Source organism: Homo sapiens, chromosome 7 (genome assembly GCF_000001405.40).
Source record: "Homo sapiens chromosome 7, GRCh38.p14 Primary Assembly".
NCBI classification, from domain to species: domain Eukaryota; kingdom Metazoa; phylum Chordata; class Mammalia; order Primates; family Hominidae; genus Homo; species Homo sapiens.
Window position 1 is genome coordinate 151,146,652 of NC_000007.14, and position 27,749 is coordinate 151,174,400.

Genomic DNA, 27,749 nt, shown 5'->3' on the forward strand with positions numbered 1-27,749 from the left:
GTGGAGCTTGCAGTGAGCCGAGATCACACCACTGCACTCCAGACTGGGCAACAGAGCGAGACTCCATCTCAAAAAAAAAAAAAAAAAAAAAAAAAGGTTCTAACCCCATAGGTTCCCTGTGAAGGCTGAATCTAAGGAGACTTAGCCTTGATCTAGACCAGGCTGGGAATGGGGCTGGTCTGGACTACATATTTTTAGCCTAATTCTCAAGCCCTGCTGAAATTAGCCAAAAAATAGAGAAGATCTGCCCTAGCTCTGTGTGTCCTAGCTGGAGAACTGTGGTACCATTGTTAATGACCAGTCACGGCTCCAGATTGCTTTGTTTGGTTGCCCAAACCAGCTGGGAGAAATGAGCTGCCAAGGAGAGCTGTCTTGGTCTCGCCATAAGAAGTGTCCAGCACATGTCAGGGTGATGAGACGTTGATAAGTCTTCCATTCCAGGAATCAGGAATAGCCAGAAGCTTTCCCTCTAAGGAAAGTAAGGAGGCCAGGTATTTGAGCTGTACTTCCCTCCCCTTCCTGACATTAATACCTTCATTTCCTGAATTTCTTTGCCTCATTCACAGCCCATTTTTCTTCTCGATGGCTCTGCTCTCTACTGTATCTCCCCTCCCAAATCAACACAGGTCATATTTCTTCCCAGGAAGCCCAGTTACCATGATACCAACTTCCACTGGTTTCTGTGCCCTTTGCCTGCTGTCTGCAGATGGATCTGTGAGCACTGCTCCCTGTGTTCACTTTGTCCACTAATGCTGTTCCAATCCCCAAGCCTCTGCTATGTCTATCACACAAATTCATTCCTGTCCCATCCACTTAGCCATGGCCCCCCTCAACCAATCTTATTCTGTAACAGAAGAGGTAGGGGTATCCCAAGCTTCAAAAATGGTGCAAAGAGGAGAAGAAGAGATGATAGTTAATGCTGTAAGAACAGAAAACTGGAAGTGGGTCCTTCCCTCTAGGCCCTTGCATCTGGAATATCAAAGGGTGGCAGAGACAGACTAAGCTGCCGTGTCTTCTGCATAGAAAACAATTTATTCATGAGCTCACGGGTGATATGAGTGCCCCAGTCATTAGTGACCTCCCCCTAAGTTAGATGGCTTGGACATACCCCACCTAAATGCAACAGGAAGTGAAGTGAATCTCTCCCAAAGTTTTCCAGCTCATCCAAGGAGGAGAAAACAGAGCTGGAGAAGCTTGCCTGTTTAATGGGAAGCAGGAAGAGATGGCACGTTAGGAGCCCGAGGTATAGAAACAAGAGCAAGCGGTGAGCAGCCCTAGTGGAAAAGCATGGGGGTAGAGGTAGTTAACGTGGGGTGGGGGAGATAGGGGAGTGCTGAAGAATTTCTACAGAGGCCAGTGACGGTTGCATTTCATTTCTTTGTAAAGAGAGGCAAGATGGGGCCTACCCCAAAGCAGTAGGACAGACGAACTCTGGCTGAGGATTGAGGAAACAACTTTCCCAATCCCTCTCAGGGGTGCAGACAGACGTACAGAGACAGATAGCTCCATATATACACATTTACACAAATAAATAAGGAGCTGCGATCTACTTGGCTAGGTATCGCCTGTTCCCTCCACCCATCAGAAGCTGTTCCAGGGCATTTGCCACAGAACCTTCAGGCCTTAGGCATCTTAGAACCCACCCCCTCCCCAGGAGTCCACCTCAGTCCCAACAGCTCCTCAGCAATAGAACCCCAGCCCCTTTAACCTTGAAGCCCCTAGTCCTGAAGTTCTCTGGAACAGGCTCAGGGCCAAGTGCTCACATCTCAGGTTCTGGGAGGAGTCTGGGAAGAGCACACCCAGGGCTAGGTTAATTGCCAACTAGCCCCTCTCAAGGCAGAATCACAGTTGCAGCCCCTCTGGTCCACAGAACCCTGACAGTCTCAGAGCAGGCTCAGGTACAGATCCCTCGCCTTCCTAAGTTCTTGGGTGCCCATTCAGGGCCGGGCCCCCTGCTCCATTTGTTGGTGCTGGCTCCGCACAGCAAACCTGTTGACATGCACAGGTATGGGGACAACAATCTTGGGGTTTCTTACGGGCTCCCCAGAACGGCTGCTCACATTGCCAGCTTTGATGCGCTTCCACTTGGCCCGTCGATTCTGAAACCAGATCTTGACCTGCACCTCACTGAGCTTGAGGGCGTGGGCGATCTGAGAGCGCTCTGTCAAGCTCAGGTATTTCTTGCAATGAAATTCCTTCTCCAATTCCAAAAGCTGCTCGCTGGTAAATGCTGTGCGGCGCCGTCGGCTTTTCCCCCCAGGAGCTGTGACCCCTGCTGTCACCGGTGCCCCCTCCTCAGCTCCAGTCCCCAGGCTTCCCTTTAGCTTCGGTTTAGGTCCCAGAAGAGCCCCTGGGCCCCCTGCAGAACTGTCCAGGAAACCGTCATCCTCGCTGTCACCGCCTGAGCCCTCTTCCTCCTGTTCGCTGCCTGCTGGGTCTCCTGCTGATGCCTCCAGCTTCTCCTCATCTGAGCTGTACACCTTCCCCTCTGCTGTGAGGAGCAAGAAGCCAATGGATGGGGAGGGAGAAGCAAGAAAAAGAGAGTTTGGAGGAGGCCCATGGAACCATGGCCAGAAATGGGGGGTTGGGAGACAAGAGCAGGAAAAAAGAGAGCCATGGAGAGGAGAAGATGGGGAGGGACAGGAGGCAGAAGGATGGTATGTCCAGGATATGGAATGGGAAGAGGTTTAGGGAAAACAAAGAAATGGGAAGAAAGGTATTAACCAGCACAGATTTCACTACGGAAAAGTGTGGGAGGCAATAAGTGTGTGGACAATGACCCCTCAACTTCCCCACCACCCCCATCTCATTCGCACCCACCACCTCCCCAGCTTTCTCGGAACCTAGAGACCAAGGGCCCAGCATCGCAGTGATATACCACCCCTCCAGAGCCAGGCCTCGCAGCCTCAGGTGCCAGAATGAAGCAGTATGGGACCCGGCTTGGGATCCTTCTGGAGCCACTGGGGGGAGGAGTGAAGCAATGCAGAAGAACTGACCTTGGCAGGACAGACGGGGAGAGAAGGGCTCAGCCTTTGCACTTCTCCTAGGAGTCCTCATCTGGCCCAGCTGACGAGAGCTGTCTCATGGCCTCTGTTCTGTCTCCTCCTCTCCCTCTTCCCTAGATCTGCAGTCCCTGAACCTCATTTCCATGGCTCCCAGCCATGCAGCACCTTGAGTGTGGCCAGATTTTTTCTCCCAGTTACTTAGGCCTCCTGATCCCCTTTCAATCCTTACCCTTGACCTTAAAATGAAACCATCTCTTTCCCACCTTCCCCTTTCCCCAGCCAAGGATGCCTGAGCAGCACAAACAGCTGTTTTCTGCTCAAGTTCAGAATCCTGAGGCCCCTAAGCTTGATGTCAGCTGGGAGGACTGGAAGGAATATGGGAGGAGGAGGAGGAAGAGGGAAAAGTGCAACAGGGACAAATGAAGAGAAGGAAAGGGTAAAAAAGAAATTTTGATTCAGTAGAATACTGATTATTTGTAATCACAAGCATATAAACATTTTAATCCACACAATTCTAAAACTTAATTCAACCATTGGTTTTAATCTTTGTATCCAATGATGTTTATATCAGAACTGCAAATAATGCATTACACATGTTTTCAGTGAGTTTTACAAACTCCGTTTTCTACTCAAAGGACCAAAAAGCAGTGAAACAAGTCAAAAGACAATCAATAGGCAGGAGAACAAGAGAAAATGGATAATCTGTAAGCTGAATAGTCAGCTCCTTTCCAGAAGTGTCCACTGTGCAAAGGCAGGAGGCCTGCATACCTATATGTAGGAATGCATCTCCCTGTATCGGCCACATATCAGATATGCCTGAGATAAGCAGACTCAGAGGTTGAGAATACAACTCCAAGTAAACTAAATTCAGGGCACGGGGAAAGGCTTTATTAGAGAAAGAGGGTGTGTGTGTTCACAGATAGAACATCTCCTGGCAGTCAGAGCTTCCTGGTGTTCTCCTTCAGCACACCCCGCCCCACCCCCTGCCAAGTTCCCTTCCCCCTCACAGGTGCAGTCTACACCTGGTCTTTTTCCTCAACAGCCACATTGACATTTTCTTTTCCTATCTTTCCTATCTTTCTTTCTTTTGAGACAGAGTGAGACTCTCACTCTGTCAGCAAGGCTGGAGTATAGTGCACAGTCTTGGCCCACTGCAGCCTTGACCTTCCAGGCTCAAGGGATCCTCCACCCTCAGCCTCCCAAGTAGCTGTGACCACAGGCACACACCATGCCTGGTTAATTCTGTTTATTTTTTTGTAGAGACAGGATCTCACTATGTTGCCCAGGCTGGCCTTGAGCTTCTGGGTTCATACAATCCTCTAGCCCTGGCCTCCCAAAGTGCCAGGATTACAGGTGTGAGCCACTGCGCCCAGCTGACATTTTCCTTAGTGGCCAGAACTCTCAACCTTTTTCCACATCACCCATCTACATCCCAATCAACTTCATACCTCGAAGGTGTTTTCATCCCTCTCCTTTTCTTTCTGGAGTGCTTCCTGTTTCTTCTAACCTTCTCAAAGTCCATGCGGCATGCCCCAGTTTGGGCTCCCCCAGTCTTCCCATGCCACTCCTGTACATTGCTTTTCACCAGCCAATGGCTTTTGTTCTTCTTTACTAGTTTGCTCAGGCTTCACTGGCGCCCAGCATCAAGACCCATCTGGGTAAGTACTGTATCCTGTCTGTAGCTAATTCGCCCCTCATAATGTCTCCCATCAGCCTGTTCTTTCCCCTCTATCTCACCCCTAGCCAAATCTATGTTGTTTTCTCTAAGATTCACATCCTTGGTTTCCTCCTTCATTTCATTAAGGTCTCTTCTCCCATTATTTTCCACTTCCACAGAACTCAAACTTAACATGCCCCAAATTGAACTCCAATCAGATCATTCCCCCAAACCAGCTCTTTCTCATCTTTATCCACATCATCCCCATCTCAGTTAATGGCAACTGCATCCTCTGTGTGTTCAAACCTAACCTCGATGCCATCTTTTTACTCCTCTCTCTCACAACCCACATCCAGTCCATCTACAAGCCCTGCTAGTGCTGCTGCCTTTAAAATACCCCCAGAGCCCAATCCTTTCTCCCTATCTCCCGCTTCCAACTAGTCCACATCACAATTATCTCTGACCTGGTTCACTGTCATCTTCTAACTGGTTTCCCAGCTTCTGTCCTCCACACTCCACCTGGCCCATGATTCCTCTTTCTGTCTGGAATACACTACTCTTCACCTAGATCTTGCACTAGCTTATTCCCTACCTCTTTCAGGTCTTTATCAGTGACACCTCCCCTGGTCATCCTTTTAAAATTTAAACCCTCTGATACTCTCTATGTCCTTTCTCCGATTTATTTGTTACTTTGGTCCATTTTACCAATTTTATTCATTTATTTTACTGGCTGTCTCTTCCTAATAGACTATAGCTTCGTGAAAGTAGGTATTCTGAATATTTCTCATTCACTGCAATATCTTCAGTGTCTTGAAAATGACCTGACACTCAATACAGAGTAGACACTCAATAAGCATCTGTTGACTAAATAAAAGAAACGATTTCCAAATGCTCATGCATGTGCTCCCCGTCTTTCTTTCCCTCCCTGTCCTTTCCTTTCCTAAGCCTCTCCGACGATATTCCCCACAACCCCACCCCGCCCAGCTCCAGTGCATAAGACATCTCCCTATGAATGTTATCCTTCCCACTTTTCAGAATGCCCTCAGATCTCACATTAGCTGGAGAGGAATTCATATGCAGTAGGAATCTATAGGATCTTAAAAATCTATAGGATGCTTAAAGAAATTAAGGACAATCCTAATACCATTAGTAAATCCTCTATTTTAATTTTTTAAAACATAGTTTGTAGTAAATAATAACAAAAAGAATAACAAAGGCTTGTACAAACTCAGCCCAATATTACAATATGTTAAACAGTGCTAAAAAGGCAGAAACTAGACTTCGAGGCTTGAAGGATAAAATCAGTTAGTACAACTCCAAGCACCCAGGGGGTGTCCAATAAATCTAAATTGATGATGATTGAGATGAGGCTCCCAGGTTCCCGATCTGGCAGGGCCCTCCTGAGATCGTATCATCCATCCCTCTGTCTTCAGACAGATCCATAAAATGAAGCCCACATGAGCCGGCCACCCTCAGTGCTGCTTTTAAAGCCATACAAGGAGCACAGGTTCACAACCTCTCTTGGTTACTTGATCCCAGTGGGATGCTGAGCGGCAGGGGCAAGAGTTTCTCTCTGAGCCTTTATAATCATGACATTGAAGACTCTGATAAGCAACTCTTGAAATGAAATGGGGTGGGACAATAGAAGAAAGCAACGAGAGGAGAAAATACAGCCACATGCCTCAGAGGAGAGTCTGGGACAATGAGGAAGACCGACAAGGAGTGGGAGAGAGAAGGAAAGGCCAAGGCAGGTGGAAAGAAGACTGGGGAAGGAAAGAAGTGGGGTAGAGAAATAGCAGAAAAATTAAATGATGAGTCAGATAAAATAAAAGGGCTGAAAAGTCTAGAGAAGGGAGAGAGAAAATATGGGAAAAATCAGGGGAAAGAAAGCAAAAGGTACTTTTTAAGAAATGCCTCATCTACCTTTCCCCCCAGAATACTGATACATTTGAAGCAAAGCAAAACATTTTGGCCCTGCCATTTGCTCTCTGCTGCCCCAAGAGAAGGAGCACTGTAGACTGCAGTAGCCAAAGACACAGGCAGAGAAAGAGAATGAGCAAAACAGTAGTGCAATCCTTTACAATGTGGAAATTTCAAAACAGCTAACTATTTTCTCTGGAATTAGCTAAGAAATAAAAATATTTCCTTTTATCCAATTTATAATGAATATTAATAGTAAAAAATAAAAATTGCACATAAAAATTTGCTATTGACTAAAAATTGAAAGAAGCAAATCTTTTTTTTTTTTTCCTGAGACAGGCGCTCGCTCTGTCACCCAGACTGGAATGCAGTAGAGTAATCATAGCTCACCGCAGCCTTGAACTCCTGGTCTCAAGTGATCCTCCTGCCTCAGCCTCCCAAGTAGCTGGGCCATAGGCGCACACCACCATGGCTGGCTAACTTTTTTATTTTTATTTTTTTTACTTTTTTGCAGTGTTGGGGTCCTACTATGTTGCCCAGGCTGGTCTCAAACTTCTGGACTCAAGCAAACCTCCCACCTCGGCTTCCCAAAGTGCTGGGATTACAGGTGTGAGCCACCATGGCTGGCAAGAAGCAAATCTTGTTGATAAAATTTCTATTTGCAAAATTTGATTTAGAATAACTGGACTTGGTAGATACAATGTTCATAAAAGTAAATTTCTGGCTGGGCATGGTGGTTCATGCCTGTAATCCCAGCACTTTGGGAGACTGAGGTGGGTGGATCACCTGAGGTCAGGAGTTCACCACCAGCCTGGCCAACATGGTGAAACCCTGTCTCTACTAAAAATACAAAAATTAGCCAGGGGTGTTGGCGTGCGCCTGTGATTCCAGCTACTTTTGAGGCTGAGGCAGGATTGCAGTGAGCAGAGAGCGCGCCACTGCACTCCAGCCTGGGCGACAGAGTCTCTGTCTCGAAAAAAAAAAGTAAATTTCCAATTGCAGACAGTATAATTGGTTGGTATGAACAAAAAACGATAAATAAATAAGAATTAAAAATGTTACATGGAAAATTGCAAGTTGTTGGTTTGCATGAAAAAAATTTCCTATGGAAAATAATGAAATAATGATTCTGATGAGAATACTTCAGCAAAATGAAAATTTTAAAAATCTAAACTATTTTGTTGTGCTAGGTAAGTAGGCCAAACAGACAGAAAGGTTCTGTCCTTTATGATGAGGATGATATTATTGGTAATAAGAAGACTATATTGAGTTTCCAGCTTGTTCCCTATGGTTGAGTCTAATCTGTGAAAAACAGTTTGGCCTCTGGTCAGGGGAAGTGATGGTAGGACAGACTGGTCATTAGGAAACAGAGTTCATGTGAATTCTCCTGGTGGATGCTATTATCCTAAAAACTAGAAATCACAAGGTTTGAACCTTGATTACTTGTAGAGTTCACGTCAAGGGCATTAATCTCATTCCAGAGAACAGCACTCATGCTCCAGGAGACGTGCTTGCATGGGGCCTTCCTTCTAAGAGGAAGGGGAGCAGCTCCAGAGTCAGAAAGAAGGCCATCTCGGTAATGGGTCAGTTCGGGCTAGGGAAGAAATCAAGGGCCAAAGAATCCATAGTAGGTGTTCTCCAGCAGAAAGAACACAATGCCCTAGACTCACTCCATCTAGGCAGGGAGGCCTGCGCTAGAGGCACCGAGGAGGAGGAGGAAAAGCCAGAGGGAGTGGAGGACAACTTTATGCTCCCAACTACAGGAATTCATCTAGCCCCTGTGCTGTCCCTCATTCACCCCATTACTGCAGCTCCTGCTGTTATCACCGTAGGAAATCAATTATCTTGAGTATTCATAGAAGAGAAGCCCCTCAGTTCTGACTTATCTTCTCTCTACTTCAAAAACAACTATCCTAACACTTGCCCCAACCACTCTTAGGAAAGGTTAGGTTCTCTCCTGGTCCGCCCATCTTAGGACAATGAATCTCTTCCTGATTTTCACAGGCCAACTACTCATCTCCCTGAATCCAGTTCCAGTTTGGGTGGGGTCAAAAGGTGGGAAGAAACACAGGTCATTCCTCAAAAAAGAGACATATTTGCCATCACTCCCACTTCTAAATCCTCATTTCATCATGCCCAATACAGAATTATTTCTCTGTTCTTTTCAAAAACAGTACTTTCTCCGATTGTTTAAAACAGCCAGTTCACTCTCAGTTTATTTTTCACTCATTCTCATGAATTTCATGCTTCCATTATGCTCCTACTCCTGCCTATAATTTTAGGTATAATTGGAAACATTCATTTTCATTTTCTCTCTCTCTCTCTCTGCACTCTTCCTATGACTCTTTAGCATTCTTTACTCCAAGTCAAAAAAATTTTCTTTACATCACTGTCATCCAGAACCCCTCCCAGCTTCATGACAAGTTCAGGGCAATTTCCCACCATTTTAAGCTCAGACCTCCTTTCAGGGCATACTAACATTGCCATTTCCAAGAGCACTCTTGTATGATCTTTAACTTTTCAAAACATTTTCCACATTTACTATCTTATCTTCAAGCAGTTGACTGACGTAGAGCAGATCTATTATTAGTAGTAATAGGAGAGGTAGTAACCTTATTTTCTGGTGAAAAAATGGAGTTTCAGACAGATTAAATGATTTCCTAAGTCACGCAGAGAGGGACAGAGTGTCAGGTCTAGCATCAGAGAGGGACAGGATGTCAAGTCTCCTAAAGCTGCAGTTAACGCTGTTTTCATTCTTTCCAGTAAACTATTTTCTCCTCCTCTCCCACTTGTAAAAGCCCTCTCCCCAGATGTCTCATTAGATAAATAACCTTCTTATCAAATCCAAGTTTAGATCTCACCCCTTTTAGTCAGACTCAGTGGCTCACACCTGTAATCCTAGCACTTTGGGAAGCCAAGGCGGGCAGATCACTTGAGGCCAGGAGTTGGAGACCAGCCTGGCCAACATGATGAAACCCTGTCTCTACTAAAAATACAAAAAAAATTAGCTGGGCACATTGGCTTACACCTGTAATCCCAACTACTCGGGAGGCTGAGGTGGGAGAGTCACTTGAACTTGAGAGCGGAGGTTGCAGTAAGCTGAGGTCACACCACTGCACTCCAGTTTGGGCGACAGAGTGAGACCCTGTCTCAAAAAAAAAAAAAAAAAAAAAAAAAAAAAAACGAAAAAAAAGAGAGAGAAAGAAAAAGATCTCATCCCTTTCACTTACTACCACAGAGTCCTAGCCTAATCATTAATATCTTCCCTTAACATTCTCAGAGAAGATTCTTAAAATTGTCATCAGAGACGTTTCACTCACCAAACTTCACCTGTCCTTTAACAAGCTACTTTTCCTGTCATTCCTGAGACAAAATTCCCACCAAATCTTTCTCCCGTTCTTTTGTCCTTATTGGTTTGTATGATGTAATCTTACCAGTCAGTGCTTCTTTTATTTAAAAATGCATTTTTGGCTGGGCACGGTGGCTCATGCCTGTAATCCTAGCACTTTGGGAGGCTGAGGCAGGCGGATCACTTGAGGTCAGGAGTTCGAGACCAGCCTTGCCAACATGGTAAAACCCTGTTTCTACTAAAACTACAAAAATTAGCCAGGCATGGCGGTGCGCGCCTGTAATTCCAGCTACTCAGGAGGCTGAGGCAGGAGAATCGCTTGAACCCAGGAGTCAGAGGTTGCAGTGAGCAGAGATCGCACAACTGTACTCCAGCCCAGGCAACAGAGTGAGACTCTGTCTCAAAAAAAAAAAAAAAAAAAAAAGTGTATTTTCTAACTTTGAAAATAATAACGTCTGTAATCCCAGCACTTTGGGAGGCTGAGGCGGGCAGATCAGGAGGTCAGGAATTTAAGACCAGCCTGGCCAACATAGTGAAACCCTGTCTCTACTAAAAATACAAAAATTAGCTGGGCATGGTGGCACATGCCTGTAGTCCCAGCTACTCGGGAGGCTGAGGCAAGAGAATTGCTTGAACCCGGGAGGCGGAGGTTGCAGGGAGCCAAGATCGCGCCACTGCACTCCAGCCTGGGCAACAGAGTGAGACTCTGTCTCAAAAACAAACAAACAAACAAACAAAAACACTCAATGTTCTCTAGCTTCTAGTTTACAACTTTCTCCCTCATTCCTCATAGAGCTCTTTCTCGTATAGGTATCAGAGCAAACAGAAAGCCTCACTGAGCGATGGAAATTTTTGTACTATCTTCATCTCTCTCTGCCTTCCTCATTACAGAACTCTCTTCAGACCTTCACTGCCAGGATCTCTTTATCACTATTTAGCTAGCCAGTGGGGAAACAAAGGATTTCCTTTCAGTATTTCTTCCTAATACTGAAAGGGAGCTGAAGGCCCATTCTTTTCCTTCTTTCTGGTTGAGGTAGACATCCGTTTTGGGTTGTTTTTGTCTGCCCAGCATACCTTCCCCCTTTTGCTCAGTAGCAGTACCCGCTTCCTTTAGGTACTGCTTCCCCGCTACACTACCCACTACTTGGTGGGACTGTCAACAGCATTTCTCTACCTTCCTGATTAAAGGTGGGCATGTGACTTGGTTCTGACCAATTGTAATATGCTATCTCCCTGGAGTCATGATTCAAGCTAGCGAATTAGTCATCCCAGGGTTTTATTTACACTAGAATCCACTCAGGTCCTATAACCTGGGATTATAAAATTATAAAAATTTAGAACTGCATGTGCTTGTGCCTTCTCTTACCTCTAGCTAAATGAAGAAAGCTGTCTTAAGGAGAGAATGAGGTGAAGACAGAGAGAGGAGCCAGGTTGGGAGCAAAAAAGAAAGACCTCACAACACTACTTACATTTCTGAATCCACTCAGGTATTTTGCAGTTACAAGAAGCAATAAATCCCCGTTTTAGCTGAGAGCTGAGCCACTATCACTACCAACCCGAAGAGTTCTGACTAAGTACGATGCTGTAACCAGAAGAGACAATGGTCACATGACTCCAGGGAAAGTAAACCTCTCCACCTCACTCCCACAACTCTCCCATCCACGCTAATGTTTCCATATTACCTAAAATTATTCATAGTAATACCACATAAGATTCCACCAGTTTGAAATTCATCTGGACTTTAAAAAATCTCAACCCACCTGAGTGTGAATTAGTTTAATCCAGTGGCTTTGATTTTAACATCAAATTGAAATGAAACATATGAGGGAACAGAAATTTTTTGATAAAGAAACAAGAAGAGTTTTTTTGTTTTTGTTTTTGTTTTTTTTTTAATGGAGAGAAAGGGAGAACAGGCCCTAGTGAGGCACAGTAAAGGGGTTTTCAGCAGGCTTGGGATTTACAGAGGACACCAAAATGTGAGACAGGGAAACCGAAAAGAGGGAGAAAGAGCCAAAGACACATGTGAAATCTACCCCTAATTAGATTCAGTACAATGTTCTTTCCTGGCAGTCCCCGAATAATCAGTTCTCAGAACACAGAACTACTCTATCATCACTCCCAGAAATATTTGTCCTTTTCAATACATAGAGTGTCACCTATCCTACACCATTCCTAGTAACAAGATCTTTCCCAACTTAATTCCCAGGAAAGCGCCTCACATATTTCCAAGAAAAGGACAATAAGGATAAATTCTTGAGCACCTATTACTTTCAGGATGCTGCACAAATATCTGTGCATTTAATCCTTAACCCTGTGAGGTAAATATTACTGTCCTTATTTTGCTGGTGAGGAAACAGACTGTACAGGTGAGTACTTCCTATAGATCACAAAGAAAGTGCGCCACCAACATCTGTACCCAGCTTTCCTGACCAAAGCCCATGCTTGCTCCTTTGCACTACACCTCATCTCTTTGTTAACATTTAATGTAAAAAAAGTGTCTGAATTTTTTTTTTTTTTTTTGAGACAGGGTCTCACTCCGTTACCCAGGCTGGAGTGTAGTGGCATGATCTTGGCTCAGTGCAGCCTCCACCTCCCAGGCTCAAGGGATCCTCTTACCTCAGCCTCCAGTGTAGCTGGGACCACAGGTGTGCGCCACCACTGCTAGCTAATTTTCTGTATTTTTTGTAGAGACGGGATTTTGCCATGTTGCCCAGGCTGGTCTCGAACTCCTAGCCTCAGCCTCCCAAAGTGCTGGGATTACAGCCATGAGCCACTGCACCCAGGCAGAGACTGAATTTTTGTTGTTGTTTTTTGAGACAAGGTCTTGCTCTGTTGTGCAGGCTGGAGTGCAGTAGTGCAATCAAATCTCACTGCAGCCTCAAGCCTCAACCTCTCAGACTCCAGCAATCCTCCTACCTCAGCCTTCTGAGTAGCTGGGACTAGAGATACACACCACCATACCTGGCAAATTTCTTTTGGTAGAGACAAGGTCTCACTATGTTATACCAGGCTGATCTCAAACTCATGGACTCAAGTGATCCACCTCGGCCTCCGAAAGAGCTGAGATTACAGGTATGAGCCACCATACTAGGACGAGACTGAATTCTAATGTCAGCCTATCATAAATATTGTTCCAGATACAGAAACAATATAGAAGGCCAGGAACCAATTTTACAACACAACTTCTCTTCTTTTCCAGTGCTTCCTTCCTCGCCAGTTAAAGTTGGTCCCAACTGATCCCCAATCTATTTGGCCTATACAAAATCTACCGTCTTTATCAAATGTTTCTCTCTCTCATTTAATGTGACAGCTATACACAGTCATAGCTTGGGTATGCCCTCCCCAATCCCAGAAGACAAGCCTTTTCCACCGTAAAGACCAGCCCTGATCTCACCTCAAGATGCATGCATCTTACCTTGCTACCTCCTCCTCCTCCATGACTACAACACCACTGAAAAGTATAGTTTCCCCAGGCCCTTCGCTCAGGATGCCTTTCTTTTTTAAAAGAAATAATTCATTAATAAAGATATCCTTATAGATAAAAACAGAATTGTAGAGCTGGAAGGAATCTTAGAGATCACCTAATTCAAGCCCCTAATTTTACTGATGAGGAAGCTAAGACACTTCCTTTGCTTAGGCTAATCAGTTTATGTACTTGTAGTGTCCACACATAATTCATAGAATAGTTATTAATTGCAGCACAAAGCACTTCTTGCCTTTACACTCAGGGTAATTACATCTCCTTCCCTCAATGGAGACACCTCTGCATTACTTCTCTTCCCACTGTTCCCACTACAGAGTTCTGTTTTCTCCATTACTTCTATTATAATATCATCTTCTCCATAATTCAGTCAAGACATCTGCCTCCCATTATCCCCAGTCAGAAGTATTTTCCTGTTCCTCCCAGTCCTCATATTTTGAACAGTGCCTTTTGCTTATAACCCTCATCTGAGTTCCTATAGCCCCTCTACTTCTAATACAGATTCTTTTCATCACATAAGGATCATTGCTTTCCCCTCTATAATGGCCAGTGAAGACACTGCTTGCAGCACCTGTCTCTTTCTACTACACCTGAATTCAACTTGTGTAGGCCACTCCTCTATTGCACCAAATGCAAGCATCTCTTCTCCCTATCACCCTTTCTCTCAATTAGTCCTAGCACATTAGCATTTCATCCACAGTACTCTAAGCTGATAACTTTCTCCCAACAAGCTCAGACTTCCAAAAAAAATTTCCCGCCTCTTTTTTACTACACTCCTAATCCAGGCCTTTTGTCGGTTATGAGCACTACCTTGCATAGAGAGCTCTGTCCTTTTCACTGGTTCAGACACAAAGTTTCTTTCCTACCCCAGCACAGGGCATTTCCCCATTCCCTCCTTCTTCCCACCAAATTCTTTCCTTCTCATCATTCCTGTTTAAATCTCTCTCTCTTTTATACATCTACTCAATTACTTCTCTTCTATTTCCTAATTCCAAATCAGTTTCTTTTCCCATTACTTTTCTTTTCCTATTACTTCCCAGGCAGAATTCTTGCTTCCTATTGTAACATTTCTCTCAATGCAAAGCACTTTGCTCACAATGCATGTTCTTCCTTCTTTCCAATTAAAATATTTCCCCCATTATTCCAAATATTACCTCTCTGCATTATTCCCAGTATAGTCTACTCATGCCTGCCACTCCAAGTATAAGAATCCTCCTCCTAATCATCTATTATATATATCTCCATATTTACATGTGCCACCTTAGAGACTCTTTCTCTCTGCCAACCCCTGAAGGGTTACTTTCACTATGGCACAGGGCATCTTAGCCTCTGATTCTAATCCTCCTAATAAAATTTTCCTGTTGTCACTCCTGAGGTCTATCTCTGATCCAGGGGGTTCTTCACCCTTTTGTGCCCTTAAGTCCTTTGTCAGTCTGGTAAAGCCTATGAACACTTTCTAGAATAATGCTTTTAGACATACAACATAAAATACATAGTATTACATTTGAAGTCAAGTATATTAAAATATAGTTTAAAACAGAACTTGTGATATAATCATGTTTCTTTATTCATTAAACAAGGTCCCTCCAAAGACTGTAAATGTATATCAAACTATCTGTGATTTCTTTCACTGACAAAAACATCATGCACGCTGAAACAACTATGATTTTTGGCCTATATTCATAGTTGAAGTGATAAAAAATAAAGGTATAAATTTTCTCCCACCCATAGCTAACAGATCCCCTGATGAAAGGTCTGTGGAGTCCAGGTTGAGAGCTCTACTTTAAACACTGAGGCCTAGAGAATTGAAAGGAACATTAAAAATCATCTGAACCAAAACTTTTGGCCCAGCTGAGGAAACCAAAGCCTAGAGAAGTCATGTGACTTTGAATCTCCCACTGTGTCTCAAATATACTAAGTCTGTAGTAATAGACAGACAATAAATGTTCCCTGAATTGAACTAAGTGACTTGTCAAAATTATACAACTAATGAGTGACAAAGGTGAGAATTGAATCCACGTGTCACAACTCCTAAACAAATGTTCCATCAATCACATTAAGTTAATGCAGTATTTGCCTTTCTATAAATGTCAATGCAGCAATCACTCTGACTGTATGCTCAAAAGTTCTAGGAAAACATACTCTGGATCTCCATCACTTCCCCCAAAAATCTCCCTCTTGTTTCTAACAACATAATTCTCTAATTCCACGTCATATTATCATTTTCTGTTTTCCTCTCATAAGTAAATATCATATCTTGACAATCATAATGGATACCTATTCAGAAATTAATTAATGGTCATCCAAATGTTCCCTAGCTACATTCAGGTGCTTAGCTTACGGTAATCAGCACTTGAATACGAGGCTCCTAGGAAGTCTCCCCGGTCTCCTTGCATGATTTCAATTATTATTGCCAATCTGTATTCAGAAATTAGCAAATCTTTTTAAGCTTAGTTTAAAAAAACAATGTTTACTACAACAGCATGTCTCAAGTTTGTCCCATCATATTCCCATATCTTCTATATAACCTTAAACTACAAATGTTTTCTTCACTATGCCCAATACTGGTATTAGTTTTCACGTCAATCTCTCACTACATTTTTGTCATCCATCTAACAAATATATATGGAGTAGCTACCATTCCTCACTTCCTAAGCTTTTGCATTCAGGCAATCCAATCTTCTTTTTCCCCTGAGTGAATAATTGCTCTAGACACCCCCAACTCAAAGTTTTCTTCTGCCTTTTTTTTTTTTTTTTTTGAGATGGAGTTTTGCTCGTTGCCCCCCAGGCTGGAGTGCAATGGCACAATCTCGGCTCACTGCAACATCTGCCTCCTGGGTTCAAGTGATTCTCCTGCCTCAGCCTCCTGAGTAGCTGGGACCACAGGCATGCGGCACTAAGCCCGGCTAATTTTGTATTTTTAGTAGAGATGGGGTTTCTCCATGTTGGTCAGGCTAGTCTGAAACTCCCAATCTCAGGTGATCTGCCCATCTCGGCCTCCCAAAGTGTTGGGATTACAGGCGTGAGCCACCGCGCCCAGCTTTCTACATTTCTCCACATTCACGGCTCTTTTCATCATTTGCCCAGCACATAGCGTCCTTTTCACCCACTGTTGCTGTGATGCATATCTGCACCACATCTTGCACACAGCAAGTTAGCTTTGATTACTCTCAGCCAGAGCTCACACAAACCGTCAGACACACGAGATAATCTCTGCCCATCCCACCTAAGACAGAATTCTGTTCTCTCCTGTCATTTAGTGCTTCCTGCTCTCTTCTCTCCATTATTCCTAATACACTGAGGACCCATTATCCAATTCAAAGCTCCTTTTCCTCCATCACTTTCACATAACTCTGTTCTTAAAACTCTCTAGATCCGTCATGTTGAATACGGTCACCACTGTTCACCTGTGGCTACTGACCAACTGAAACATGGCTAGTCCAAATGGAGATGTGCTGGAAGTGTAAAATAACACTGGAGTTTGAAGACTTAATATGAAAAGAAGATATAAAATTATATCATTAAAATGTTAATATTGATTAATGTTGAAATAATATTTTGGACATCTTGAGTTAAATAAAATTAAAATTAATTTTACCTATTTTTATCTTTTTAATGTGGCTAATAAAAAATTTTTAATGACATATATGGCTTGCATATATCTCTACTAGCCAGCACTGCTTTGGGCTCTTCTATTGAGTCATACTTTAATCTTTCCTAACAGTTCGGAATTCTCTCCTCTTTATTACTCTTACTAAAAGACATTCTCTCAATTTTCCCCACTGCTTCCCACATTCCAAACTTGTGATTCTTTTCAATCTACCATTTTCAATAACTTTCTACCCAATTACTTCTATATATCATATTTCTTTTCACCTGCTAATATAGCTTCTACTCCTGCAATCAAGTCATAACAAAGTTCCTTTTATCCTTCCTCAGTTCTAGTAGAGAATGGTACCTGTCTTAACTCTCAACAAATTAAAAAAAATAGTCCCTGTAATTCCCAAAGAAAATCACTAATCATTCTCCAAATTGGCCTATCTACACTATGATTTTATTTAAACGGGTTAGCAGTTGTAAAACACTAAACAAATGTAAATTAATAATAATTTCAGACCCATGTCACTCATTCACACAAGGAAAACAATTTCTCCTCTGTCATTTTAAAGATTGCATTATTTCTCCAAATTCTTCTAATGTTGAGGTTTCAATCCCATTATTCACAGCAGAGAGCTCTGTCATTTCACTCCAAATACTTTAATACAATTCCCAAAACAGAGTATTTGTTTTCCAACCAGTTTTAGCCTGGGTCATGTGTCATCAGTCCCCAAATTGATATTATGTCTCTCATTTCTGGAATTGCATTTTCTTTTCTCAATGATTTCTGGAAAAACTCAAGATTGGGAAGGTGGATATGAATGGCTTGCCCAGGAAGAGTTGGAAGCGTGTTTACTGAGAGTGACAGAAGCAGCCGTCACAGATAGGAGCTCTCATTCCTCATGCTCTTTGAATGTTTCTTCTGAAGTCTCTCCTCCTTACTACTGTGTCCCAGCCTCCCCACTATAAACCCTTTACATGTATCTCCTCCCAGCATGAGTGATTACCTTTATTCCAGCACTTTTTCAAAATTCTTCCTCTGTAAGTTCTCCTTTCCATTATTCTTGGCAAAAAAAATTCCTTGCCTTTACTCCAAGAACAACACAAATTTCCCTCTTTTTTTTTTTTTTTTTTTTGCTTTCAACATTTTCCTCGGATGATGAAGCTCTGTCATTTTATATAAATTCCAGTTTCCCCTCACTCTCAATATTAAAAACTCTTTAAAGAAAATTACTCCTAGTGTTGAAACTTTTCCTTATTCCCCTAGTATTTTTATTTAGTTCCCCCCAAATCCTCTCATGACAGAACTCTTACACACACACACACAAACACACACACACATACACACACACACTCACTCACACTTGTGGTCCAGTAATACAGTTCACTTTTCATTTAGTCCAGTCCAGAGTTCCTTTTCCAGCAGAGAACCCTCTCCTTCTTCATGTTCTCTTTGTATATTCCAGTATACAACTCATCCCCTGGTCCTTTCCTCTATTCTTGTTTCATCAGTATTTCTCTTCTGTTTTTTCTCTGCTTATTCCTCTCTTTCTCAATGTCTGTTTTTATAGCCAATATACTATATGATCCAGAAAAGAGCTCCCATTATACATATAGGTCAAAATAAGAACTGAGCAGACCTGAAAGGGTGGGACAAATTGCTTGTTGTCCCACAGTTTGGGCATATGCCCCTAAGTCCCCGCTACCAAGGGATCCCCCCTCCATCCTCTCTCTTCAGCTCATCTCTTTCTATATGTGTCTGGTTACACCTTCAGGTCCTATCTCCTCCAAAGTCATCTCTTTGATGGCCTGTCTTACTCTTTTTTCTGCCTTAGGACCATCCTATTCTGACAATCATACTAATCTTTTTTTCTTAAGATCATCCTGCTGGCTTCCAGGCTCCCGCCCTGGGCCCTTTTATCTTGTGGACATTTTCTCCCACCTTCCAGTTGCTGCTCTATCTGTTCCTTATGATCCCCCTTAGAAGATGCTATTCTGACTTCAGTTACTGGGTCTTCCTGATCCAACCAGGTACAAAAAAGAAAACAACAGCTGAATCCCCAAAAGCAAAATGCCAGGGCGAAAGGAGAAAAGAATAGGAAGACAGGCCCCATGGCAGCCTTTGGGGTCTGAAAGAGTGATTAACCCTTTGGACAATGTCAGAAAGGGCCCCATAACTGATAATCAAGAATTATCTCTGCTGGCAAAGGACAAAAGCACTCTTGCATTCCCTTCTTGTCTCTGTTCAAGTCAGCTCCCAGGCCTACTGGGGTCATTTCCACCTCTAAGCTGGATGCAATGAATGGTTGAGCAGAAGCGGTTCCATCCTGATACTAAAGATGTTGAAGCATCAGAGTCCCCACACTTGCAAGTGGTGCCTATTTTTCTTAAATAGGGCCCAGCAAATTGTATAAGCTTTGGAACTCAGAACACCTGAATCTGTCTAGCCAGAAGAAAGCTTTTCTGGCTTCTAGGAGTTAAGGACCAATAGAGAGGTCAGGAGGGCTCTAATTGAATGGACTCTAAACAAGGTTCAGTTTAATACACCCTGCCTCTATGGAGAGGGCACCATTCATGGAGGGTCCAGGGCCCTTGAATTATCTGTCAGCTGAATCTTAGCTGGGTTCTGCACCCTAGATCTTTGGGCCACACCCAACTCAGCCCAGCCTTTAGCCTCTCTCTTGGTCTCCTAGTCAGCACTTGTCCAGCGTGTGCTAGGCCTCCTGTAGCTAATGTTCTCTTTGGCCCCCTACTCAGTTCTTCAAGGCTTAGCTCTGAATCTGCCAATTCAGAAGTCACGGCTTTGAGACGCAACCCCCCCCCCCCAACACACACACACACACACACTCTTTTTGCCCCTGCATCCACAGAGCCTATTCCTATCCTTTGAGCCTTTAGGGTCAGTATGATCTCCTTAGAAGCCAGAACGTGCCCTCCATTGCTGAATTGACAGCTGCTTCAACATACCCCCATCTTGGTGCCCCCGGAAATCCCATCCTTGTAGCTTGTCTACCCCTGACAGAGGAGGAAAAAAATGAAGGAATTCTGAAAAGGAGACAGGGCCAAGTCTTGATGGCTAGGATGCTGAGGGAAAGGCACTAATGTGAAGGGAGCACTGCAAAGTCTTCGGTTAGCCTTCAGGGCTATGGGGACAGAGCAGGGCGGGGGTTCTGGAATCTAAAGAGGCTGTATTTGGAACTGAATTGGAGTCAGAACCTGCGCGCGATCTAAAGGTCTGGGACTTCAAGGCTCCAGGCAGGTGCCGAGGTGCCGAGGTTCCGAGCAGGTTCCTGTCTGGAATTTCCAGGTGAACCGGCCTCCCGCCAGCCCTGGTCGGCCCTAGCACTTACCGGGCAGACTTGGAAAAGTCTCTGAGAAGTGCGGAGGCGGAGGTGGTGGGGGCTCTGCCACTTTCTCCCGGGCCGGCAGCAGCTCATCAGCTTCCAGCCCACCCTCTGGGCGTCGGCCGCCTGGCTCGGGGTTGTTTCGGGCGGCAGTGGCGGCGGCGGCGGCAGCGGCGGCGGCGAGCTCCTGGGGCCCGTAGAAAGCGTCGGGCGGCTCCGCGAAGCTGGGCAGCGCGGTGGTCAGCGCCACCATCGAGGGCACAGCCTGACCCAGCCCCGCGCAGAAGGTGTTGGTAAGGCGGCCGGCGAAAGAGGCTAGCGGGGCGAGGGGCGGGAGGCCAGCGGGCAGCGGCGCAGGGGCCAGCGCCTGCGGCAGCACGAGCGGCCGGTAGGGCATGAACATGGGGTAGCCGGTGTACAGCAAGTGGCCGGAGCGCGGCGGCGGCGGCCCGATTAGGGAGTCGATGGAGAAGGCAGTGCCCGGGCCCCCGCCGCCGCCCCCGCCGTTGCCCCCAGGGGCGCTACCGCCTCCGGCCCGCTGCATCTTGTTCGGAGCTGCGGCCGCCCCGGGGCGCTCCTCTCTGGGCGCCTCCGTGCGCCCCGCGGCTCGGGCGCCCCGCGCGGACACGCAGGGCTCGCTCCCTGGCTCCCGGGCCGAGGTGGCGGCGGGGCGCGGGCTCGGCGCAGTGTGGCTCCGGCGCCGCGCTCCCTCTCTCTCATAAGGAGGGAGGGGGCGGGCGAGCAGGCGGGCTGGGGGTGTCGCCCTCCGGACTCATCCATCTTCCTCAAATTACGCTTCATTTCCTCCCTCCGCCCGCCGCCGCCGCGCCCGGCTCCCGCTCCCTCCGCAGAGCCCGTTCCCAGCGGCCCGGCCGGCCGGCCCGGGACCCCCACCCGCCCCCCGCGGCCCAACCAACTATTATTAATGGAGATTGATGAGGCCGGACACGCCGCTTTGTGAAAGTTTGCGGCCGACGAGAAGGCGGCGGCAGCTGCTGGGCCGGTCCCCTTCCCTCCACCCAGTCCACCCCCCCAACTCAGCCCACCTGGCCCGGGCTCCGGCTAGGAGGGCAAGCGGGAGGTGGCCCAGGCTCCGATGGGGCGGCGGGGCCGAGCGTGGATGGGACACCGGGCGGCAGGCGGAGAGGGCGCACCAGCAGGGACAGGCGGCGGGGCCGGACCTCAGCACCCCTCTGCTCCGGGCCGCCGCCCTCCTTCGGGCCCCAAGTCATTCCCCGGCGTGCCTCCCAGCTCCGACACCCCTCCCCTGCCCGTGGAGCGGACGTTGTGGCGGTCCCCAGAGCAAGCTCCGGCGCGACGGGCGGGACAGCACGGCCACCGCCCCCTCCAGCGAGAGCGCGGGGCTGAGGGAGGCGAGGCGGGGCCGACAGGGGGCGCGCTGGGCCCGCCCGGTTCTGCGGCTTAGGGCCACTCTTACGGGGCCCCTTTCCTCCTATCTGCCCCATTCGCACTCTGGCCTCTGGTCTCTATTCTCTTGGCATTGGCTCTTCACCTTCTTCCTCATTCCCTCCTCCATCTCCAACTTCCCCTAGTCCCTTTCTCTTGCCTCGGTGGGTAATTTCCTTGAGTGCCCACACTATGCCAAGTACTTACCATTCCTCTGACCTTTCCCCTCCATCTTTCTCCCGTCCTTTACATTCTTTTTCTTCCTCCCACCCCTCTTCCCTTTCCCGTCCTCGTTTCTATTCCTATTCCTCTGATTATTTCTTTCCCATCTCTCATTCCTTATCCCAGTCCCTCTTACTCGATTTTTCTCATGTCTTTCCTTTATCTGTATCTCTTGTCTGTCTGTCTGTCTATCTCTTGTCTCCCTCCCTCGCTCTCTCTCCTTCTCTTCTGCTATTAATTTTCCCTGATTGGCTCCCCAGCTCCAGCGCCGCTGATGAGCCCTATTCATTCCCGGGCCTGACACTCACGACCTGCCCTGGCTGATTGCTGGGGGCTGGCCCCAGGAGCGCTGATGAGCCCCAAGGGTCAGCAGCGCTAATTATCCGCTAATTGCAGATGACTCTCACCTCCCCCCTTCTGAGACACAGAAATGGTGGCGCCTTTTACCATCGTCCTCCCCCTCCTCCCAATTCCCAGCAGTAGAGTTGTCAATCTAGAGGCAAAAGTCAGACAGTTTGGCTTGATAGCCACCTCAGGTCAGTGGGCAAGAAAGAGACAAGACAGGCAAGTCAACAGAAGAGTGACTCAAGCTTCAGGACACAGGGCAAGCCTGGCCAGCTACAGTGAGTGTCATCTGGTCACAAGGAAATTGTTATTCAGGTGAGGCTGGGTAGAGCCAAGCTAGTTAAAACTGATAACAGTAAAGCCAGGCAAGTTTAGGAAGATGCAGTCTAGGTAGGGGAAGTGATTTGGCTCCAGCGAGGACGAAAACCTACACAAGTTCCAGGATTGCCCGGCCAAGACAGAGCAGGGCAGGAGGGAACTCTGGGTCTCAGTGACATTTGTCCCAAATCAGGAGTGTTGTGTTAGCCTAGTGAACACTGTTAAAGTCAGGCTGATGTATTTAAATCAGTACCTGAAAGACACTGTCACCAGGGTGGACTGAGGAAGGGGGCAGGACTCAAGAAGGGAGTTTTTTGGTTATGCCTTAACTGACAATTCATCAGAGAAGTGAACAGAGAAGAGTGTCATTTCCATGCAGTCTTGATCTACCTTGGGCTCCACATTAAACCAGTGAAATTTCTAAGGAACGAGTCTGGTGGTAAGATGTCACAATGGAGAAAGAAGAGGTGCCTTAGCTTAACTCCAACTCACTACTAAAGAACTTGTCTAAAGATACTCTTCAGAACACCCCTTTGCTAAATTAACCAAGCACTTTACCATACCAACATGCAAGATGAAGCTTCAAAAGTATATTGTATTTTTAAAGTGAGAGGGCTTATCGGTGTTGGATACATAACAGAGGCTTACTGACTTGACAAATTGAGGCAACTTTGGGCTACAAAACTGAAATTAAACCTGTATGAGCAGTTACAGGATCAGCCAAATAAGGCATGAAGGAAGAACCATTTTTAAAAGTAATTGCATTCATTTATTGCATAGGTAATAAAATCACATAGTACCAAGTTCCAAAAGCTCAAAAGGATATATATTGAAACATCTCTCTTCCACCAGTCCCTTCAATAAAAGGCCACTTTAAGAAGCCTGTCACATTCTGGTATGTCAAGGACTCAAGATTAAAAGACCCTCTGATTGTATTAGCCAAGCACGGTGGCACACACTTGTAGCTCCAGCTACTTGGGAGGCAGAGGCGGGAGGATTGCTTGAGCCCAAGATTTGGAGGTTAGAATGAGTTATAATCACACCACTGTACTCCAGATTGGGTGAGAGAGGGAGACCTTGTCTCTAAAAAATGTCTTAAAGACCCTCTGGGCTGGGCATGGTGGTTCATGCCTGTAATCCTAGCACTTTGGGAGGCCGAGGTGGGTGAATCACCTGAGGTCAGGAGTTCGAGATTAGCCTGACCAGCATAGTGAAACCCCATCTCTACTAAAAATACAAAATTAGCTGGGCATAGTGGCACATGCCTGTAATTCCAGCTACTTGGGAGGCTGAGGCAGGAGATCGCGTGAACCTGGGAGGTGGGTTGCAGTGAGCCGAGATCGCACCACTGCACTCCAGCATGGGCAACAAGAGGGAAACTCCATCTCAAAAAATAAATAAATAAAATAACCCTCTGATCTTGAAGATATATGTCGCCTAGTTCATGCCAAGAGCTTATTGCTTAGAACTATACTCAGTAAAGTGGATTCTCTACTCAAGCTGGCACAGGAAGTACCTACTTTTTTTTTTTTTTTGAGATGGAGTCTCGCTCTGTTGCCCAGCCTGGAGTGTAGTGGCATGATCTTGGCTCACTGTAACCTCCTCCTTCCGGATTCAAGTGATTCTCTTGCCTCAGCCTCCCAAGTAGCTCTGATTACAGGCGCCTGCCACCATGCCCGGCTAATTTTTGTGTTTTTAGTAGAGACAGGGTTTCACCACGTTGGCCAGGCTGATCTCGAACTCCTGACCTCATGATCTGCCTGCCTCGGCCTCCCAAAGTGCTGGGATTATAGGCATGAGCCACTGCGCCTGGCCAGGAAGTACATACTTAAAACTTAGTGCCAACAAATCCCAGTGGGCCACCAATTCTGAACAGAGGCAGGTGAGACCTTAAGTACTTCTACTGACCTGGTGTGGTTTGTGTTTGTTAGATACTGTATTTCATAACCCATTTATATCCTCTATCTGTTCCCTTGCCATGCTAGAGATACGAAGTGTGACTTCTGTGAAGTCCTTGACATTCCGTAACATTGGCATACATAGTGGCAACTGCAGCAACCCATTTCCTTTCCCTGCCCTTTCATAGAACATAGAACTGAGGCCACATGGTAAATGGAAAGAAGCACTGGCTAAAGGAAAAAGACCTGGAATCAAATTCCTCTTCTGACCCCTCACTGGGCCCTGTGACCTTGACCCCTCTTTGACATCTCCATCTGTGAGGGAGAGTGATTAATATCTACTCTGGCTGGGTACAATGATTTATGTCTGTAATCCCGACACTTTGGGAGGCCCAGGTGAGAGAACCACTTGAGACCAGGAGTTCAAGCCCAGCCTGGGCAACATAGTGAGATCCCGTCTCTATAAAAAAAAATTTAAAAATTGGCCAGGCATGGTGGCACATGCCTGTAGTCCTAACTACTCAGGAGGCTGAGGTGGGAGGATCACTTGAGCCGGGGAGGTTGAGGCTTCAGTGCGCAGAGATTGTGCCACTGCACTCTAGCCTGGGTGACGGAGCAGGACCCTGTCTTACAAATAAGAACAACAAGGGCTGGGCGTGGTGGCTCACGCCTGTAACCCCAGCACTTTGGGAGGCTGAGGCGGGTGGATCACGAGGTGAGGAGATCCAGACCATCCTGGCTAACACGGTGAAACCCCGTCTCTACTAAATATACAAAAAATTAGCCAGGCGTGGTGGCAGGCACCTGTAGTACTAGCTACTGGGCAGGCTGAGGCGGGAGAATGGTGTGAACCCAGAGGGCGGAGCTTGCAGTGAGCAGAGATCACACCACTGCACTCCAGCCTGGGCGACAGAGTCAGACTCCGTCTCAAAAAAAAAAACTTTGTCTAGTCAAAAAGCAAGGGCAAGAGTCAATTGAATATGAAAAAACACCTTCCAAAACGAGTTCTTCCTGCACTAAATAGACAAAGAGTAGAGTGGCGAAGAAAGGAAGGGGACTCATTTTCCCTGAAATCCAGAGCACTCCAAAAACTACTTCACTCTCTCATCAGTATCAAGTACAGACCTTACCTCTGTCAAATCTGAACAGAGCTAGTTCCTTTCTTTACCAGCAAAAAACTATGATTCTCCTACTGAATTCCTGAACAGACGCATTATGGGCAAGTACCTGGTCTCATTGTCCGAAACAGAATTCTGAAAGTGCTGCTTTGTCCATATTCTCTGACATTTGGGAAATGCTCCTACAGAGGAATTTTATCTTTAATCTACCCTCTGTGCCCACCGCGGCCTCATCATCTGGCCTGACCTGTGTTGCCAACCAGCACCAAGGATGCTAAGAAAAAAACAAAGTATTCAAGTCAAAGACCACAAATCTATACCTCCAATCCACTCATTGGCCAGAGAAAGTCCTCTCATGGTGGGCAGCGTCGGGCCTGGCCGCGGGTGCCCTCTGGTGGCAGCAGCGCACAACTGCGGGCACGGCGAAGGAGGTGCGGGGTGCTGCAGCGCCCCCTGGCGACAGTCCAGGAGACGCGCCGAGGGCAAAGAAACCACTAACGGAGCATCCAAGGGCGAGCGCGCGGGACGCCTCTAGATGCTTAACTGTGAATGCACTGTTTGGGGACGGGGGGTTGTACGTGAGTGTCTTAACGTCTAGTGTGCGTGAGTGTAGGGTTAAGTATGTTTAGTGTGCCCCGGTACCCGAACCCTGTATTTCTGTTGTGTTAAATGTGTACAGTATGTATGAGCCCGCGCGTTCACACGCGGGTAGGTTGGTGGTGGGGAGGTCCGCGCCTCAGTGCAGGGCGGAGTCCTCACGGAGGCGTGAAATTGGTTTGGAGCAAACACATTACGAAAAGCAATTACCAGGGAGAGGTTCTGGGCCCGCGGGACCAACAGCCAGGAGGCTGGGGAGGGAGCGCCCTGGCTCGCAAGAGTCTGAATGTCTAACCCCAGTGAGGACCCTCCTGACATTGCCCGCTAAGGGGACAATATGTGAAGTTGTGCACAGCCCCTTCACAGCCACCACTCCACATCGCCTTTCTTCCCTTCCCCGTCCTTAAAAAGGCATCCCATGATCGCAGGCTCTCCAGATGTGGCCAGAAATCCTCCCCCATCTTCCTATCACTTTAGAGGAGGGTCCTTCTTCTGGGACGCCCTCCCAGATCTCAACCCCATTCCTCACCCTCCTCTTCATGCCCCCAGCTCCTGCTCCCACGTTTATCTTGCATTCATCCTATTGCCCCTTGTATTCTAACTGGTTGTTCACACCCTTGTTTCTCAGACTAGACTGAAGATTCACTGAGGGCAGGAGCGTGTCTCGTTCCCAGCAGGGCATGAAGCACCTAAAACCTGGGGACCCGGAAGCACACAGTGAACCAAGTGGGTGCGATCAAATAGAATTTCCATCAAAATCCACCAGCAGGACTCTCTCGGGCAAGTCATCTGCGGGAGTCGGGATTCCCTGGGAGCAGAGCTCCAAACTCTTTCCCGCACCAGCGAGCCCGCACTCGCATGATACCCAGACCTGCGCTCGACCTGGCCCCAGATCCCCGTGCCAAGGGCCACAGCCTCTGAGATGCTTCCTAGGCGGCTCCAGTGCCATCTCCCCAGCAACGGCCTTCTGCTTCCCGTTACTTCCTCGTCTTCCCCATCTTAGCATCTGGCACCACCGTCCAGGGGTCCAAGCCAAAAACCTGCGAGTCGCCCTAGACAGCGCTATTCTGCAGCCCCCTACATCCCCCCCAGCGGCGGCCCCCCAGTTCTTCCCAGGGATCCCGAATCTCGCCCGCCGCGACCACCTCTGGCCTGGACCACCGCCGCAGGTGCCCCCCGACCCACGCCCGCAGCCAGGACGGTCCGTCCTGCCACTCCTACTGATCTGCTCTACTCAGGTCTCAGGCTAAATGTCACCTCCTCAGAGAGCAGGTTTCCCTGTCACCGACTGCCAACCCCCCATCCCGCACGTCTCTCCCCGGGCTCGGCAGCACCTGCCGCTTCCTCCTGTGCGCCGCGCTCCGGCTACCCCGCGCAAGCGGACCCTGGTGGGGGCCTGGAGGGCAGTCCTTGCCCCCGTGCGGCGGTGCCTGAACGCAGCAGGCCCTGGAACGGCTGCGGAACAAACCATCGAGCACTAGGGCGTCCCCC

The 27,749-nt window shown here is 46.9% G+C and overlaps 1 protein-coding gene across 1 annotated transcript, besides 2 other annotated features; it reads right to left on the reverse strand.

The window, feature by feature from the left end:
• Positions 1–1,357: 1,357 nt before the first annotated feature.
• GBX1 (gastrulation brain homeobox 1) lies at positions 1,358–21,043 on the reverse strand. The gene is made up of 2 exons (NM_001098834.3): positions 20,360–21,043; positions 1,358–2,491 (listed from the first exon to the last, which is right to left on the reverse strand). The coding sequence occupies exons 1-2, from the start codon at positions 20,895–20,897 to the stop codon at positions 1,938–1,940; spliced, it is 1,092 nt and encodes a 363-aa protein (NP_001092304.1). The 5' UTR covers positions 20,898–21,043; the 3' UTR covers positions 1,358–1,937.
• Positions 21,478–21,557: a silencer, noted in NCBI's record as "silent region_18803". NCBI's record gives its function as "represses an Ori minimal core promoter by ATAC-STARR-seq in GM12878 lymphoblastoid cells {active_cell/tissue: GM12878}" and the evidence as "EXISTENCE:reporter gene assay evidence [ECO:0000049][PMID:35858748]".
• Positions 21,568–21,817: a silencer, noted in NCBI's record as "silent region_18804". NCBI's record gives its function as "represses an Ori minimal core promoter by ATAC-STARR-seq in GM12878 lymphoblastoid cells {active_cell/tissue: GM12878}" and the evidence as "EXISTENCE:reporter gene assay evidence [ECO:0000049][PMID:35858748]".